The 16625-nt window shown below is 34.6% G+C and overlaps 1 protein-coding gene across 4 annotated transcripts in view; it reads right to left on the bottom strand.

Annotated features, from left to right (window-relative positions):
* The window catches only part of HMCN1 (hemicentin 1), a 456559-nt gene that overhangs the window by 60081 nt on the left and 379853 nt on the right, over positions 1 to 16625 (bottom strand). For all 4 annotated transcript variants that reach the window (NM_031935.3, XM_011510038.4, XM_017002437.2 and 1 more), the window contains 12 exons: positions 15923 to 16050; positions 15455 to 15611; positions 13754 to 13875; positions 13246 to 13410; positions 11571 to 11678; positions 10987 to 11124; positions 10724 to 10858; positions 7649 to 7918; positions 5075 to 5265; positions 2578 to 2791; positions 769 to 903; positions 172 to 362 (listed from right to left, as the gene is read on the bottom strand). In NM_031935.3, the coding sequence (NP_114141.2) occupies positions 172 to 362; positions 769 to 903; positions 2578 to 2791; positions 5075 to 5265; positions 7649 to 7918; positions 10724 to 10858; positions 10987 to 11124; positions 11571 to 11678; positions 13246 to 13410; positions 13754 to 13875; positions 15455 to 15611; positions 15923 to 16050 (1954 nt within the window). The remainder of the gene's footprint in view (positions 1 to 171; positions 363 to 768; positions 904 to 2577; positions 2792 to 5074; positions 5266 to 7648; positions 7919 to 10723; positions 10859 to 10986; positions 11125 to 11570; positions 11679 to 13245; positions 13411 to 13753; positions 13876 to 15454; positions 15612 to 15922; positions 16051 to 16625) is intronic.

The raw sequence follows: 16625 nt of genomic DNA, 5'->3' as shown, positions 1-16625 counted from the left end.
GGCTAAAATATCTATTTCAATCCTTGTTTCAGTTTTTTAAAAGGAGTTATTTGATTCAGATTTTATGATTTAAATAGGAATGTAAGAGAAATGTTTCTTATCTATGGCACTCACAGAGGGGTATTGGCTGTGGGGGTTTAAAGGTGCATCAATCATTCTGGCGTGACTTACAACAGTGCCATAGATGGCCAGGGAGCCATTGCCCAGTTGCCGGATTCTGTGGCTAATTTCAATATCCACTCCCTTTCTGTTCCACTGGATGGTTGGGGTGGGGTCTCCTTTCACCTCACAATTCAGGATTGCATTCCCACCAAGTGGTTCAATCCAGTTAGAAGGATAATCACCTTTGAAGACTGGAGGTTCTGGAAAACAACATAAGACAGGTACAAAGTAAAAGTAAGTGCTGATAATTTCTTTGTGATCTTTGACCTATTTGGAAAAATAATTTAGTAAAGAGGGGAGTAAAGCCACCTTAAAGACTCATGAAATTTCCAGAATCAACTCTTCATGCTAAATCACCAGATAATTTTGTCAATTTCAATATTCTAAGGGGATGATTCCACTTTGTGTGAAATGATCTCTTTACTTCTTATCTACTTTTGAGTTGAATGTTCATAATTTTTTTCTCATGAATTTGTACATCTGTGAAATAGGACTGAGTGGATTAAAAACTTGAAGTTATATTTTATTACCATAAAATAAAGAAGCAAAACTTGAACTATTCATTATGAATGCATTATAAATTAAAAATGGAGCGCTTTTCCCTACCTTTCACATAAACAAATCCAATTGCCTTCACAAAGCCAACGCTGTTCTCTGCGGTGCACACATAAGTACCTGAATCCTCTTTTGACACTCTTTCAATAACAAGTTCACTGTGTCCATTCACACTGTCAAAGTGGGCTGAGGGAAACAAGAAACAACACAAGTGCCTCTCAGTAACCTAGGAAAAATTTCACGACAGCTCAGTATTTTGCACATTAGATTTATGAGTTGGTCAGCAATTGAACCAAAGAGATGACATTGGAGAAGAGAGCCTTTTCCACATTTCTTCATCTGAGCTATTTACTATGTCTATAGACACTTGTTTGAAGAACAAAAACAGCAGAAGGAACAGGAAAAGAGGATGAAAACAAACATCTTTTAAAAATTATTTTAGGTTTAAAGTAAACCTTTCATCTAAATGCGTTGCTTAAAGCTGGCTCGTAGTCTGAGTTTCAAAAATCTTTCATTCAGAAATATTACATTTTCCATTTCATTTATCTCATTACCACTTTTCCTCCCAAACAATTTACATCAAACACATGAAAACCTTTTCAGCTTATAATTCAACTGACTTGGCAGGTCAAAGGGGAAAATTATGAAAACGTATGCTACTTAGGTAATAACAACAACATAGTCAAATTTGTAATAATTTAAACTTCTCTGTAAATCATAAATGGTGATTATATAAATATTTACAAAGGCATATATTTTATTTAAAAATTTATGATAGTAATATTTATAAAATTTATATTATAAATAACATATAACATTTAGAAGAAAATATAAGGTAAACATGCTAATCCTAAAACAACTAAGACTAAATAAAATTCTGACTAAACCAGTCCATATCTAAATACGTATGTTTACCTTGCATGCTCTCCTCATTTAAGTTTTTTTTTTTTAAATCTTTTACTGCTGAATATTAAGTGGAAAATTAAGCTTTAAAAGTACATTTACATTACTGCACTTTCAGAAAACATTAGTACTGCACTTTCAGAAAACAATATAGATTAGATTTTTTAGTGTCTGTTTTTTCTTAGTGAGATGTATTGTTATTAAGGTAATGCAGTTGATAAATTCCAGCCATTAACTGGAATTAACATTAACTAATGTCATTAACATAACTCTTTATAATAGAAAAAAACTCTCAAGCTTATTACTACTTTTCTAGCAAGACACTTAGTAAATGCTAACAGTGTAATACTTCAGAACTCAATTTTGGGATAGAACAATTTCTCAGTATTGACAGTCTTTATGCTGATGACAAAGTCTAACAAATAGGTAGATATTTGTTCACCCAGGGATGGGTGCTCCTGGGTTCCAGACACGACCTTAACTTGTAGTATACACAGTGACTAGAAATTTTCTACATAAATTAATCTACACTATAATAGAGGTTGAGGCAAACAGTGAGAAGTAGAATTCTTCTCTGTAAAATTAAGTGAATCTTTAGGACTCCAACAGCGGCCATCTTAATCTACTGATCAGTGATGAAGGGGGTCCAGCTGGGATAAGTTTAGGCGCCTATATAAACATACTGCCTTCTCATGGGGTAAGGGGAATTATATTTAGGTTAAAAAAGCTACTTATAACCTGCAATATATGGCCCTGTGATCAACTTATGCTTCCAAAAGAAGGAACAAAACATATATATTGGGTAGAGGGTAAAATCCAAGCAGAGGCACACATTTTACAGCATTTAAAGCAATCAATTCTTGTTACTTTTCAATTTTCACAGCTGGAGGAAACAGAGCTTCGTCTAGAGTTCTACATAGGTGTATTTATTCACTTCTTGAGAATTAAATGACCAACCTGGAATAATATTGTTATTGAAGGTCCATGTTAATTTGGGCAATGGAATACCAGTAGCTTTACAGCTTAATCGTAGCTGTTCTCCTTTATTTAATGACACGTCTCCAGGAAGTTCAGTAAAAGTGGGGAGAACATGCACAGTCAGGCTGACAGTGTGTGTATCTTCACCTGCAGCATTGTTAGCAACACAGGTATAGAAGCCAGAATCCTCCAGCTAAAATTAAAAAAAGTAACATTTAAAATTTCATAATCATCCATCATAGTACATAAAATACATCAAATTGCATAGCTAGGCCCTCAAGAAACTCTCTTATCCAAAGACAATTTAAATTTCCATCTTTTAGTCTTAACCATCAGGTTAGCTTTTGCATAACATAATTTAAAATGTATAGAAGTTTAAACATAAGCCCATACCTTTCAGAACAATAATCATTTTACAGTGGTAAGATTTCAGAAAACTGTAGTTTCTGTGGTTTGCTAGATATCAAGTGTATTGCTGCTCTGCATTGCACAAATAAAGAGCAAATAATCCCAAAAGCTGACAGCATCTTGACAGCATAATTGGCTCTCTAAGGCGGTACCAAAGATCAACAAAACTATCAGAGGAAATGGTAAGAGAAAGGGCACTATTACCTAGAATTCTGAGGCCTCACTTGCTAAATTCAACGGCCAGCTCTCATCACTCATCTTTCTTGATGCATTTGTAGAATCTGACACAATTATGAGTCCTTTCTATGCGAAACCACCTTTACATGGTTTCCAGGACACTATGCTCGCCTATTTTCCCCTCCTATCTCACTGGCTGCTGCTTCTCCAACCTTTTTTGGGGCTTCTCCTCAACATTAACATTTTAATGGTGGCAAGCGAGAAGGCTCAACCTCTGCTCCTCTTTTCTTCTATATCTGTACTCAATTTTTTTGGTGATCTCATACAGTGCTATAGCTTTAAATATCAACTATATGCTGATGCCTATCAGTATCTCCAACCCAAATACTGATACTTTCTTACAAACTCAAAGTCTATTGAACTTCTTATTCTAACTCTTTGCTCTGATGCCTAAGATATGTCTCACATTCATGCCCCAAAACTGACCTCCCGATTCCTTCCAATGGCCCCTTCCTGTACCACCTGTAGCCTTCACCGTCTCGGCTGATGGCTATTTCACCCTTCCAATTGTTCATGCCTTCAGTCTCAAACATTTGAGTCATTCTTATTTTTTTTCCTCACACCCTACTTGCAATCTACCAGAAAATGCTAGCTTCAAAGTATATGCAGAGTCTTACTTCTTGTCTCTTCTCTGCTAACATCCTGCTTTGAGTTCTATCATTTCTCATCTGCCTCCAGAGAGTCTTCCCAACAGGTCTCACTGCTCCTGTCCTTGTCTCCCTACCTTTGATTCTCATCACAACAGCCAACGTAACCCTTTAAAATTTAAGGCATATAAGATTGCTCACCTGCTCAAAAACCTGCAATGGATTCTGACTTAGAGTAAAAGGTAAAATTGTTACAATGACCTGTAAGACCCGACATGATTTGGCCTCCATTTATCACTGACGTCTTTCTCCTTTCATTCTTTGCTTTGCTTTCACTGGCTTCCTGCTTTTCAAATACACTGGACATGTTTCCACCTCAAGTTCTTTGCTCTACCTATTTTTGTTTTTCCCCCGGTCTGCTCCTCCAATATTTGCTTGGCTAATTCACTTCCTTCAAGTTTTGCTCAAATGTCACCTTCCCAAAGAGAATTTACTCTGACTACCCTATTTACAACTGTAACCTTCACTGCTCCAACTCCTGACACTCTTTTCCCCTCTTATTTTTCATGCCACTTTTTTCTTCTGACTTATTTTCTTCTGACATTACTATTTTTCATTTTTATTGTCTCCTTCCTCTAGATATAAACTCCATGAGGGCAAAGATCTTTGTTTCTTTTGTTCCCTGATGTATTCCCAGTGCCTAAACCAGTGCTAGTTGCAGAGAAGGTGTTCAATAAATATTTGTTGAATATTTGAATAGGAATATTCAAATATGAATATATATGAATATTTATGTTGAATATTAATGACTGCTTCTGATTGCATTGAGACACATAGACTTTTTTCCTTTTTTTAAAAAAGTTTAACATTTTTCCCCTTGAAGCACTAAAGAATTGAAAATATAGCATAAAAATTACAATTATTTACTCTAGATACTTATCATTGCCAAATAAGGTTAAGAGCACAGAATATAGCACTGGCACTTAAAATTTTTCCTGATAAACACATATTTCCACAAACACAAAATAATTTTCGAAGGAGGGCATTTATGAGTTCCTATCGTCTGTTAAATATTATTCTCATTCAAGGGACATGAAATACGTGTAAAATTAATTTTGTGACCTGATTTTACAAGAATATTTTTTTTAATTATTAAAGAATATACTTCCATGCTAAATTACTAAAAGTATGATGGCAAATTTACAATCTGGCTTAATGTATCTGTTCACGTCCATTAAACTTACCACAACATTTTCTAAAATGAGTTCTCCATATGGTTCAGCAGTGTATTTTCCTAACAAGTTAGCTAAAAGAACATTGTCTTTTTTCCAGTTAATTGCTGGTGTGGGGATTCCATCAGCTACGCATGGAAGAATGGCTTGTGAATTCTCATTGACCGTGTAGTGTCCTTCTGTACTTCTGATCCTGGGTGGTACTATGAAGAGTTTAAAAAAGAGTCATCCAGGAAGCTGAGTTCAATAATGTCTTTATTCACAATAAAAATTAACACATAAAAAACTCTTTTCAGGGTAATTTTGCTAGAAATACTAAAAATGAAAATCTATTAAGATATTGATTTGCTTCCTGCTATGAAAGAAATCAGTATTTTTGGTGCTAGCAAGAATCCTAATGTAATTGAACTTACTGAATATATTTACGTTTGGTTTCTGAGCAAATGACAGAACTGGGTAGAAGATCTTTAGATTTTATTTGGCTTCCCTGACTTTTCCGTCTTTAAGTTACTTCTGTTTACTGCAGTGAAGTAAAACAAACCAACAACAAAACGAAAAAATGCTTCTATGGTTGCGTAACTGCTGTATATTATGAGGATGAACTAATAATAGTCACCATAAAACACTATAAAACACTCACCCAATACTGAATATCACAAAGTGCTGTAGAAAAAAAAATACTTATTGCAGTATTTTACATGTTACAATGAATACAAGTAAACCAGATCAAGACACTTAATTCAGTTTTCATACTGTCAGAGAAAATTTTCAGAGTGACTTTATAACTGCACAGTATAGTACCAAATACTTCCTGTGACTCAAATTTTTTTAACTAGAATTTGGGCAATATAGAGATGAACTGAATATTTTAGTGTAATAAAAAATACTTGATTGGACTTAGAACTAAGATAGTTACTTCTAAAGAAAAGACAAAAAGTATTAAGAATTCTCGGTTCAAAAGTAAAAATACACTCCCTTCCCAAAACAATGAATTTGGAATTATTCAAACAAATCAGAAGCAGACCCATCTTAATGACATTTTAACGAGTGAAAAGAGAACAGTTGGCCTTAGCAAAAATAAAATTGCTATATAAACTTTAATTAGCTACTTTCAGTTAAATTAACTGTTTTCGATTAAAATAGTTAATTTTTTGTCCTTTATGATTATATGATTAAATATACAAACATTATATAAATAATTATAGATACAAACATAGATAACTTGGAAAACACAAAAATTGATTTTGCTCAATGGTACATCGTAAATACTCATTTTTAATTAATTCTTGCTCTATTTTCATTATCTTCTTTATCCTGATTTCCTTGGGTTGCTATTTGTCTTTTGTTACGGGATACAAACTTGCAGCATTAGTATATTTAATTCAGTTCTTTCTTTTTCAAAATGAAAGAATTATTGCTATGACTTTATATTGATTTTAGCTTTGAGCACACACTGTACATTTTGATATGTCATGTCTTTATTTTCTAAATAATGTGAAAACAGAAAAATACTCTTTGACCTACTTTTTGGCTAGAAGAGTGTTTAAAGTTGTCTGGGTTTGGGGTTTTCAAAGTTCATTACAAATTTCTAGCTTTGTTGCATGGTGGGTAGAAATTATGGTCTATCTTTTTGAAACTTATTAACAATTTCTTTGTTTAGTATATGGTCAATTTTGGTAAATTTTCTATAGACATTTGAGAAGAAGGAGTATTATTTATTTGAAGGCAAATGGATAGTGTATATTGATTAGTTTAATTATATTAACTGAAAGCAGGGGAGTTATTTGGAAAACTCATAAATGATGATTTTTAATTTTGGCTAAATTATTCAACCAAAAATGTTTCCACTCAAAATTGTCTCTGTTACTATGAAGTTACAGAAAATTAAAATACACTTGAAAAATAAAACAGCTTTCACAAATTTCTGAAAAATGAAAAGGCAGAAACTCCTCATTATAATAATTACCTCTGAAAATAGAGGCTGGAAGCAGTTTAATCTGGTATTGTTTCCCACCACTGATATTAACGTGGATTCTATCCTTAGTCAAAATATATAATAAAAACTAAAAATATTTCAATGCTGATTTTTCAATATTTTGTTGTCTTAATACAAAGATATTTTTCTGTTATAAAAATATACATGTAATATTTTGCCACTTTAATATAATGAATCAAATAGATCTCCTAATTCTCATTAGAGTCAAATCATACAATGTAGGTCATATGATGATTCATTTGAACCAAGATGACTTGAAGCTTGAGAAGTAAAGCAGAAAAGTCACAAAACACAAACGGACTCTTCATAAGCCAACTAATCACAATATGTGAGGGTACTAGCAACACATTAAAAATCCTGGCAATATTAATAAAATCTGTCTTTCTCTCTCACACACCTATGTGCACAAACACACAGAAACACAGCCTACAGAAAACAGATTTGAAGTGCACCTACACACCACACCCCCACACACACTTTGGATTACTGAGTTTAAGGGTTTTTGACTTCCATCAGATTTGCTCTTGGTAGCCTTTTCTCTTTGCCATGGTAGTGCAGCAGACTAAAATAATTCATGTTAAACAACCTACCATGGACGGTGAGCTTGGTGCTTGTGCTGCTTGATCCTGCTACATTGGCTGCCATGCACGTGTAATGGCCAGCATCACCAGGCTGGACAAATGCTATTTGCAGAGAGCCAGAGCTGAGGACGCGCTGGCGGATAGATTCCACAATTGCACGCCCATCTTTATGCCATGTAATGTCAGGCGGAGGGAGGCCATCTGCTTCACAGGATAACGTGATGGGCTTGTCCACAGCAATAACATATTCCTTTAGATGAGGGCTAATGACTGGAGGAACTAAAATATACAAAAAATATAAAGTTCAAACTTTATCTTAGAAGCATGAGTGCGCAAATTACATACTACAGTACTGCTCTAGCAAACATTGATAAGAAACAAAATCCTGACTTCACCATATCATTAGAAAAGGAGCACTACATTTTTTCATGGGAACAAAAAATTATCTGGGCGCACTTCAGAAAACTAGTCCCTAGCTAACCCATAAATGTTAAGTGATAGTCGATTTTAAATGAGGAGATAAACATATATTCATGAGGGCATGCATGTCTAGAAAATTTAAGCTGTATCAACAAAAATATTTTCTTTAACTTACATAAATTATGTGATTCACTTTAGGTATTTAAACTTCCAAAATGAACGCCAGGTTTTGGAAAATATTCAACTGCTTGGATACTTTTACTTACGTATTTCCATAGAGCTTAGAATACACATATACAGTGGCTACATTTAATAAAGGATTATTTGAACTAATGAATACATAAATAGATCATGGAAAATAATTATATAGGTAAAACTCTTCCCATTTATTTGGAAACCTATAAAAGAGCTTATAATAAGGATTTCCTTTCCAAGTGTTTACAATAGGCTGATCACCACTTAGGTATTAGCCTGGATATTCTATTCAGTTGTAACGCATCACTATAAAAAGGCATATGAAATAACTGATAATCGTATTAAGATTATTTATAGCAACAAAATTATTTGGTTGAATTTGTGCTTACCATTACATTTGTATCTGCAAGAAGACAGTCTATTCAGAATTTTTCATGCCTCTGAGGAAGCAATTATCTCCGATTGCTTTTGGAATGTTGAAATGCTTTTGGTTGTTTAATGTGTTTCTTTGTCCCTTAATTTCTCTCATGTCAATAATTTCAATCATTTCATGAAGAAACAACTCCTCAAATCTAAAAATGTTCTTTTCTACGACCTCTGTGTTGCTGAAACCAATGAATACTTTTGGGTCCTTATCCTACTTGACTCAACTGCATTTAACAAAGCCGTTCACTCTCTTCTTGAAACACTAACCTTCCCTAGCCTTCATTAAGTTTTCCAACGATATCCCTGCCCTCTCCATTGTATTATTTTCCTTTCTCAGACCTTGAAACAATGCACAGCCCCAGGACTTTGTCCTTGCCAATCTTTTCTGTACACATTCTCTTTCCTTAGTGATCTTATCCAGTCTTGTGGGTTTAACGCTGATTATTTCCAAATTTTTATCTTTGACTATACTTCTCCCATGAGCTCCAAATTCATATATATTCAACTCTCTACTTGACATCTCCACTAGGATTTCTAATAGTTTCCCATATTTAATAAAATTAAACAGAAATCATGGTTTCCTTCTTCCCAACCCAGTTCTTCCCCTTGCGTTCCAACATGGCACTATCATCTACTCACTAGCTTAAGTCTGAAGCCCAGGAAGCTTCACTAATTTTCTATTCCTAACCTACCAATTCATCAGAAATCCTAACAATTACACCTCCATAAACAACATAAATCCATCAGTTTTCTCATTCACTTCTGCAATTTGTGCTCCCATCTCCACTCTTGGACAATAACACACTACAACTCCAGTCCTGCCCTTTTCTCTAAACCATTACCTAGAGCTGCAGGAGGGGTCTTCCTAAAACCAAATGAGAGTCCTGGATAAGCCCTTCAAAAGATTTATTTGCACAGAGAATAAAATCTACATATCTTAGGGTACATCATGCCATCCATGCATGGGCCCTGCCTACTTTTCTGATCTCCCTTGTGTTTTGCTTGCCTTGGGCTTGCTCACCACCATCTAGCCACACTGCCATACTTTCTTTTCTCACTCTTTCTTGACTTGGGGTCACTGTACATGCTGTCCTCTCTCCTTTGGACACTCCACCAACCTGCCCATGGCTTATCCTAGCTCATCATTCAGGGGTCACTTAAATATTACTTCCTCAGAGAAACCTATCCTAACCATTTTCTAAAGTGGTCCCCACATATTCCCATTATTCTTCTCTGTCTCAGTCTTTTGCTTTTCCTCTATATAGCATACATCAGAATTTATCATTATTTCATCTATCTGGTAGTTTAAGATTTTCCTTCTCCATCAATGTATAAACACCATAAGAGAAGGATCATGTCTGTAATGTTCAATGTATTTCCAGTTATTAATGTTGAATAAATGTTGAAAAATACAAACCAATTAGATTTATAATATGCAGGAAAGTGAGGTTTATTATATTCATGAATCTACCATAGGAAAATTACAGTATAAGACATTTAAGCTAATTCAAATTTAGTAGCTTGAAATCTATTTCTGGGTCACCTCTAATTTGCAAAAGCAGTGCATGCAAGATATAAAAATTCTATCAAGAAAATATCAGTTAAGTTTGAAAACACAAAAATACCCTGCTTTCTCTTTAGAATAATTTTTTCCATCAAGTTGGTTTAACTGCGATTATGATTTTTTAAGTGGAACGTTATAATCCAGTGTTTTGTAATGTATCCAAGGTAGTATTGTAGAGAGAATGGTTTTAACAATCACATCATACATATGCTATAATGAAATGGAGTATCAAACAGAGGTTCATAGAAGTTCAAAATAGGATTAGATGCCTGTGTTTTCTTATACAAACAATGGCCAACAAAATAAAATACATTAAACTTTCTTCATAAAAGTGATAGAAAAACCAATAGGATAATGCAAACTAAGAATGTCGAGAACTATGGGGGAACAGCAGCATAATCATTTTAGATATATAAATATTTGGTAGACATTGTTACAAACATCTTTGAATTGAAAACAGAGATGAATTATTTAGGTACCTTGGACATTTAACTTGATTTTGCCCAAGGCTGTACCAGCCGGGTTCTGGGCCACACACATGTAAGTGCCAGCATCCTCTCGGACAGCTCTGGAGATCTGTAAGCCGCCACTAGGAAGAACTGCATGGTTTCTGCCTACAACATAGTTACAAAAGCAGAGTGGGGAAAAAAAAAAGCCTGTTCATTAAAAACAATCATGCTGATTCGAATTATAAAACACTGATGTGCTATGATTTTCTTGATAGAAAAACAGTGGTAGGTACCTGAAGTGTTAACATTGATGCCTTCTTTTTGCCAAGTAATGAAAGGACTGGGTGTCCCTGTTGCTTCACATGGTAATAAAATAGGATTGTTCAGAATGACGTGTAGTTCACTTGGTTGGGGCTGAATGACTGGAGGCTCTATAAAAAAACCAATCAACAAAAAGAAGTAATAGCACTAGTTAATAAACCATGTCTATTGTAGTAATGAGCTTAAAAATACCCAAATTCATAATTCTAAAATATTAGTGATTTGATTGCCCAAGAGAAAAGTGAATGTTGGCCACACTGCATTCTTTGAGTCTTGCTACAGTAGCCAGTTTCCATTAGAAGAACCCCACTGGAAGACTAGAGTCAGGAACAGATCATAAAAAGCCAAGAAGAAAAATTATTTTGGAGTTACTTTGAGTGGTTTGCCATTTGTGTGCCTTTTTTAGCCTATTAAAAGTATCTACCAGGCTTTCATATCCCCAAGATATTACTATGGTTCATAGCTCTCGACAGTACCTACCACCTTTCAGAATAAATATGACTAAAAAACCTCCCCAAACCCAGCGAACTTTGAATGAGTAAATAGCCTTCCATACCATGAACATGAAGGGTCACGTGTCGATGTGCAGAGCCAGCCGCATTCCTAGCGACACAAGTGTATCTTCCAGCATGGTTTAATTGGGTGGCAAGTATTTCAATTGCTCCTAAAAATGAAAAAAAATGTTTTAATATATACTGCATCTCAGTTTTTTTAGTTCAATAAAATTTGACTCTCTTTTGTGTGTTTTCTGCAAATAGCATGGTGGTGCTTGGCTTATATTCATACTTGTATCCCCTGAAGTGCCTAGCACAGTACTTAAATTATTACTAACAGCTTTATTGAGGCATAATTTACATATCATAAGGGTCACTCATTTAAATGCGCAATTCAATGATTTTTAGTATACTTAGAGTTATGCAAACATCACCACAATCTAATTTTAGAATATTTCCATCACCCCCAAAAGAACCCTGGTGCTCATTTACAGTCATTCCCCACTCACAACCCTGGCCTTAGCCCACCACTAATCTGCTTTCTGATTCTACAGATTTGCCTTTTCTGAACACTTCATATAAACTGAATCATCCAGTATGTGGTCCTTGGTGTCTGACTTCTTTCACTATGAGCATAATGTTTTTGAGGTTCATCTGCTGTAGCATTTGTCAATATTTTGTTCCTTTTTATTGCCAAACAGAATTCCATTGCATGGATATACCACATTTTATTTATCCATTTATCAGCTGATGGACATTTGAATTGTTTCCACTTTTTGGCTATTGTGAATGATGCTGTATGAAGATTTGCATATAAGCCTTTGTGTAGACAAATGTTTTCATTTCTTTTGGGTAAATACCTAGGAATGAAGTTGCTAGGTTTAATATTTTGAAAGTTCTAAATTGTTTTCTTAGCCTAATACTTTATTTTAAAATCTTTTATGATTTCAATTGCTACCAATCCATAGTCAAAATAATTTGTCTTGAAAGCCAAGTTGCATCCTGGGAACACATTTTCCACTATTACCCTTCTATTGAGGAAATACACAAATTCTCTTAGAATAATATGCACATACTCTTAAAGTCCCAGGATATTAGTTGCTACTTTATCTCTATTGTGTTTCCCCAGTGTAGGATAAGTTTTAGAAACACCAACGTGAATCACCTATACTTTAGGTGATTTTTTTTTCTTCAATACTATAAATTGTATAAATGAGGGTTACTACCACTATAAAAAATTTTCCTTCATAGAACTCGCTACTCACTCAGTCTTACATACTCAATTTTAAAAACCTTGAAACCTAGAACCCTGTTTTAGTTATACAGTCTCAGAATCTTAGTAGAGTATATATCCTGTCTTAGGCACTAAATGTTCGATAAATGAAGAGACATTCTATTTGGCCAATGAAAGAAGTGTGATTCACTCACAGGTAACTCGGGAATTTGTTAAACCTTAGGTTTGGTAAATATACACATAAATACCGGTGATCATGTTTATTATATTCAGATCAGTCTTAGATATTGTTATTTTGTTTCCAGACTAATTTTTTTCTCTTCTATTCCCTAGAACCCCTTTCTATGTTAAAAATATGTTTTAACAATCTGTTTTCCAGATTTTTAAGTTCAAGAATGCATGCATATTTTATTCTTTTATTCTGGTGCAACAAAGGCCAGGTAAGAATATGCATCAATAAATAATACAATCAATAGATGTGAAATCACTGAGCTTGGTCTTACCTGAGGACAGAATTCTATAGCCATCTCCCCTGGGAAGCAGTCTTATACCATTTTTGGTCCAGTGAATTGAGGGAAATGGAACTCCCGAAGCAGTGCAGGTAATTACTGCTGGGGCATGTTTGGTTACTAGGAAATCTGTAGGCTCATCAGCTATGGAAGGTGGAACTAAAACAACAACAACAACAAAAAGGGAAAAAACTACACATTTCCAGCCCTTAAAGATTTCCAAAGACTTATCATACATCCTCTTTTTGCTCTGAAAGTGAAAGTTAGGTAAGTAGAAAAGGGATTCCTCCTTTTATTTCTGGGTTAATACCTGGGTGATGAAGTAATTTGTACAACAAACCCCCATGACACTAGTTTACCCATATAACGAACCTGCATGTGTACCCCTGAACTTAAAATAAATGTTTAAAAAAAAAAAGAAAAGGGATCCCTTTTGTAAAGTAGTAGAATAACGAAGTGATAGCATTATCATGTTTCAATCCATGTTCCAAGCCAATTCTACCTTGGACAGTGAGATCCACAGTTCTTTTATCATCTCCAGCACCGTTTGTCACAGTACATTCATAGGTTGCAGTGTCATCCACAGAAGGGGAAATAATTACTAGTGAACCTGAAGAAAGGAGCCTAGAAGACACATTTCAAAGCATGAGATACTATATGTAGGTTTTCATAAATTTTCCCAGCTAGTTTAACATGGTACCATGTTGTAAATTGATGAAAACAGTACTCTTCCCTCATGTTAAAATTAACATCATGTCCCTGAGGCCAACTTTATGCATTAGAGTTTATGTTTGTATGGCAGTGGCTTTCTAGAGCCTCAAACTTGATATAATATTTACAGGAAGTAATTGTGGGAAGGATTGTCTGAAGAGGGAATCTTACATTCTCTAAATGCTTATATTATGATCAACCTGGCTCTCCTAGGAGAAATACAGTACAATGAGAACACTGATAACAGCCACTGTTTACTGGGCATCAGATACACTCCAGGCACCATCTTAAATGCTTTGCATAAATTATCTTTAAATTTCACAATAACCTAGCAGGTTGATATTTGTTTATTTCCATTGACAGATGGCTAATGACAAGTCTGTGTGTCTCACCCCTTTATGTACTTTGCATGTCTCCTTAAATGTGTGGCTACCTTGTAGATAATATGGCAATATCTATTTCAAAAAAAGTATATATATATATATTTAGTTTTGAACAAGTGTGTGTATGTGTGTATATATATTCAAAACTAAAATCTAGAACACTTCACATTTTAGGAGGTTTAGTAAATACACATACATGATTTAAAGTAAATCTAAATTAGAATATCTATTTGATTTCACACTGTGCATGATAGAAATGATTTAATAAAAAACATTAATAAAACATATTTGACACACCTTTTAATTCAAAAGCATGGCACATTTTCCATACAGTGTATACTTTCAAGTCACTGAACCTCCCAATGCCAAAAGATTAAAAGGGTGAAAAAGAGACATGATAGAATTTCAACTGCAGCACTCCTAGTTTTATATTTCCTGATGTATTGGAATTGATTTTTGTTAAAGTGGACATAAGAGAGCATTTATTTTTAGCGCTATGGCAAATGTTTGACAGAGTAATAATCTGATAGCTCAGGTGAGATACAAAAAATGATGCTCACCTATAACATCAGAAATTCTTAGTGATTTAAAGTTTAGCCTTTGAAAAATAGATATTGCCATATTATGAGCTATGGTATTAAAGCTTGGAAAAAAGCAAAAAAAAAAAATGGAGAAAATGCTGTTTTTCCTCCCTACACATTCTGCCAATATCTAAATTGTATTTTAAGGTATAAAATTTGACTTTTATTCTACAACTAAAGATCGTATTTATTTTTACAGAATAGTTTTTCTTTTATATAAAATGATGTTTTTATCCTTTGCCTTTATAAAAGTCCAAAAGGTACTAAACAAATAAGGCAGGATATAAATCTAATCCTATATATAATCACTGACATTCATCCACAGGGTTTATGTATGGAAAAGATGACCTATAATTCAGAAAAATATTTTAGGCTGAAAAACTAAGTCCATATTAAGGAAAAAAACCCTCTATATGCTAGCTAATTTGTTATAGTCTATATATTTGCTGACCCCACTGATAGAATTAAAATGTTGATTCATTACAAACTGTTTGTAAATAGTTGGTAGGAGTTTTAAATTATCCTTACCTGTATGAGTTCTGATTTTGATCCACATTAAGAAGATGCCCATTTTTTCTCCAATTGATTGATGGTTTTGGTATCCCAGTAGCCTCACAAGCCAGAGTAGTTTGAACATTTACTATTACAGTCATGTTGGTAGGACCCGGAGCAATAGATGGAGGAACTAAGACAATGTCACCAAATAAGAAGGAAACACAGTCAGCAAATAGCGTGCCATTTGAAATATTTCTGCTGAACTGAAATTAGTCATTATTAACTTGCCTCATAGTTATGAGCAAACAAGACTCTGCAAATTTTAATAGTGCTGTGATGATATTAACTATACTAAGGAGAAAACTTGGGGCTTGCTATTCATACCATAATGTAAATTGCTTAACTAGCCTTCAATGTCAAGATCTTTATGACCTCACTAGTTTAGGCAATCAAAGAGCATTTGACACAGAGACCGGATGTTGTCTATAAACGGATATTTACCATGGACCTGTAAATCTATTCGCCTGCGATCTGTTCCAGCAGCATTGGTGGCCATACACAAATACCGTCCAGTGTCAGTGACATGTGCTGATTGAATATGAAGGAATCCATTTTCCAAGATGGAATATCTACAAGAGAAATCACAAGTGAAGTCTTCTGAATCAGCCTTTTTTGATTGTTCATATTTTGACTGAGGGAAATGTTAAACACTTGGTGAAATCCATTCAGTATTTTTCCTGTTTCAGATGACACATGTTTATGATACCCTTGGTGGAAGAAAAGGCTACGATGCAAAGGTGCATAACAGATGGGCTTGTGATCTTTAATGGATTATAATCATTATGTAGACATAAGCCTTAGGGATTATGCTTTTAAAATACTAAATTTGGGCCTGGAGTGAAGGCTCAAGGCTGTAATCCCAGCACTGTGGAAGGCTGAGGTGGGCGGATCACCTGAGGTCAGGAGTTCGAGACCAGCCTGGCCAACCTGGTGAAACCCCATCTCTACTAAAAATACAAAAAATTAGCTGGGCGTGCTGGCGTGCGTCTTTAATCTCAGCTTACTTGGGAGGCTGAGGCAGGAGAATCAATTGAACCCAGGAGGTGGAGGTTGCAATGAGCCAAGATCATGCCACTGCACTCCAGCCTGGGCAACAGAGCAAGACTCTGTCTCAGAAAAATAATAAAATACTAAATTTTGATTC

The sequence above is a fragment of the Homo sapiens genome, chromosome 1 (assembly GCF_000001405.40).
Source record: "Homo sapiens chromosome 1, GRCh38.p14 Primary Assembly".
Classification (NCBI taxonomy): domain Eukaryota; kingdom Metazoa; phylum Chordata; class Mammalia; order Primates; family Hominidae; genus Homo; species Homo sapiens.
The sequence above is the reverse complement of the archived record's forward strand: the minus strand, read 5'-3'. Positions and strand labels throughout refer to the sequence as shown.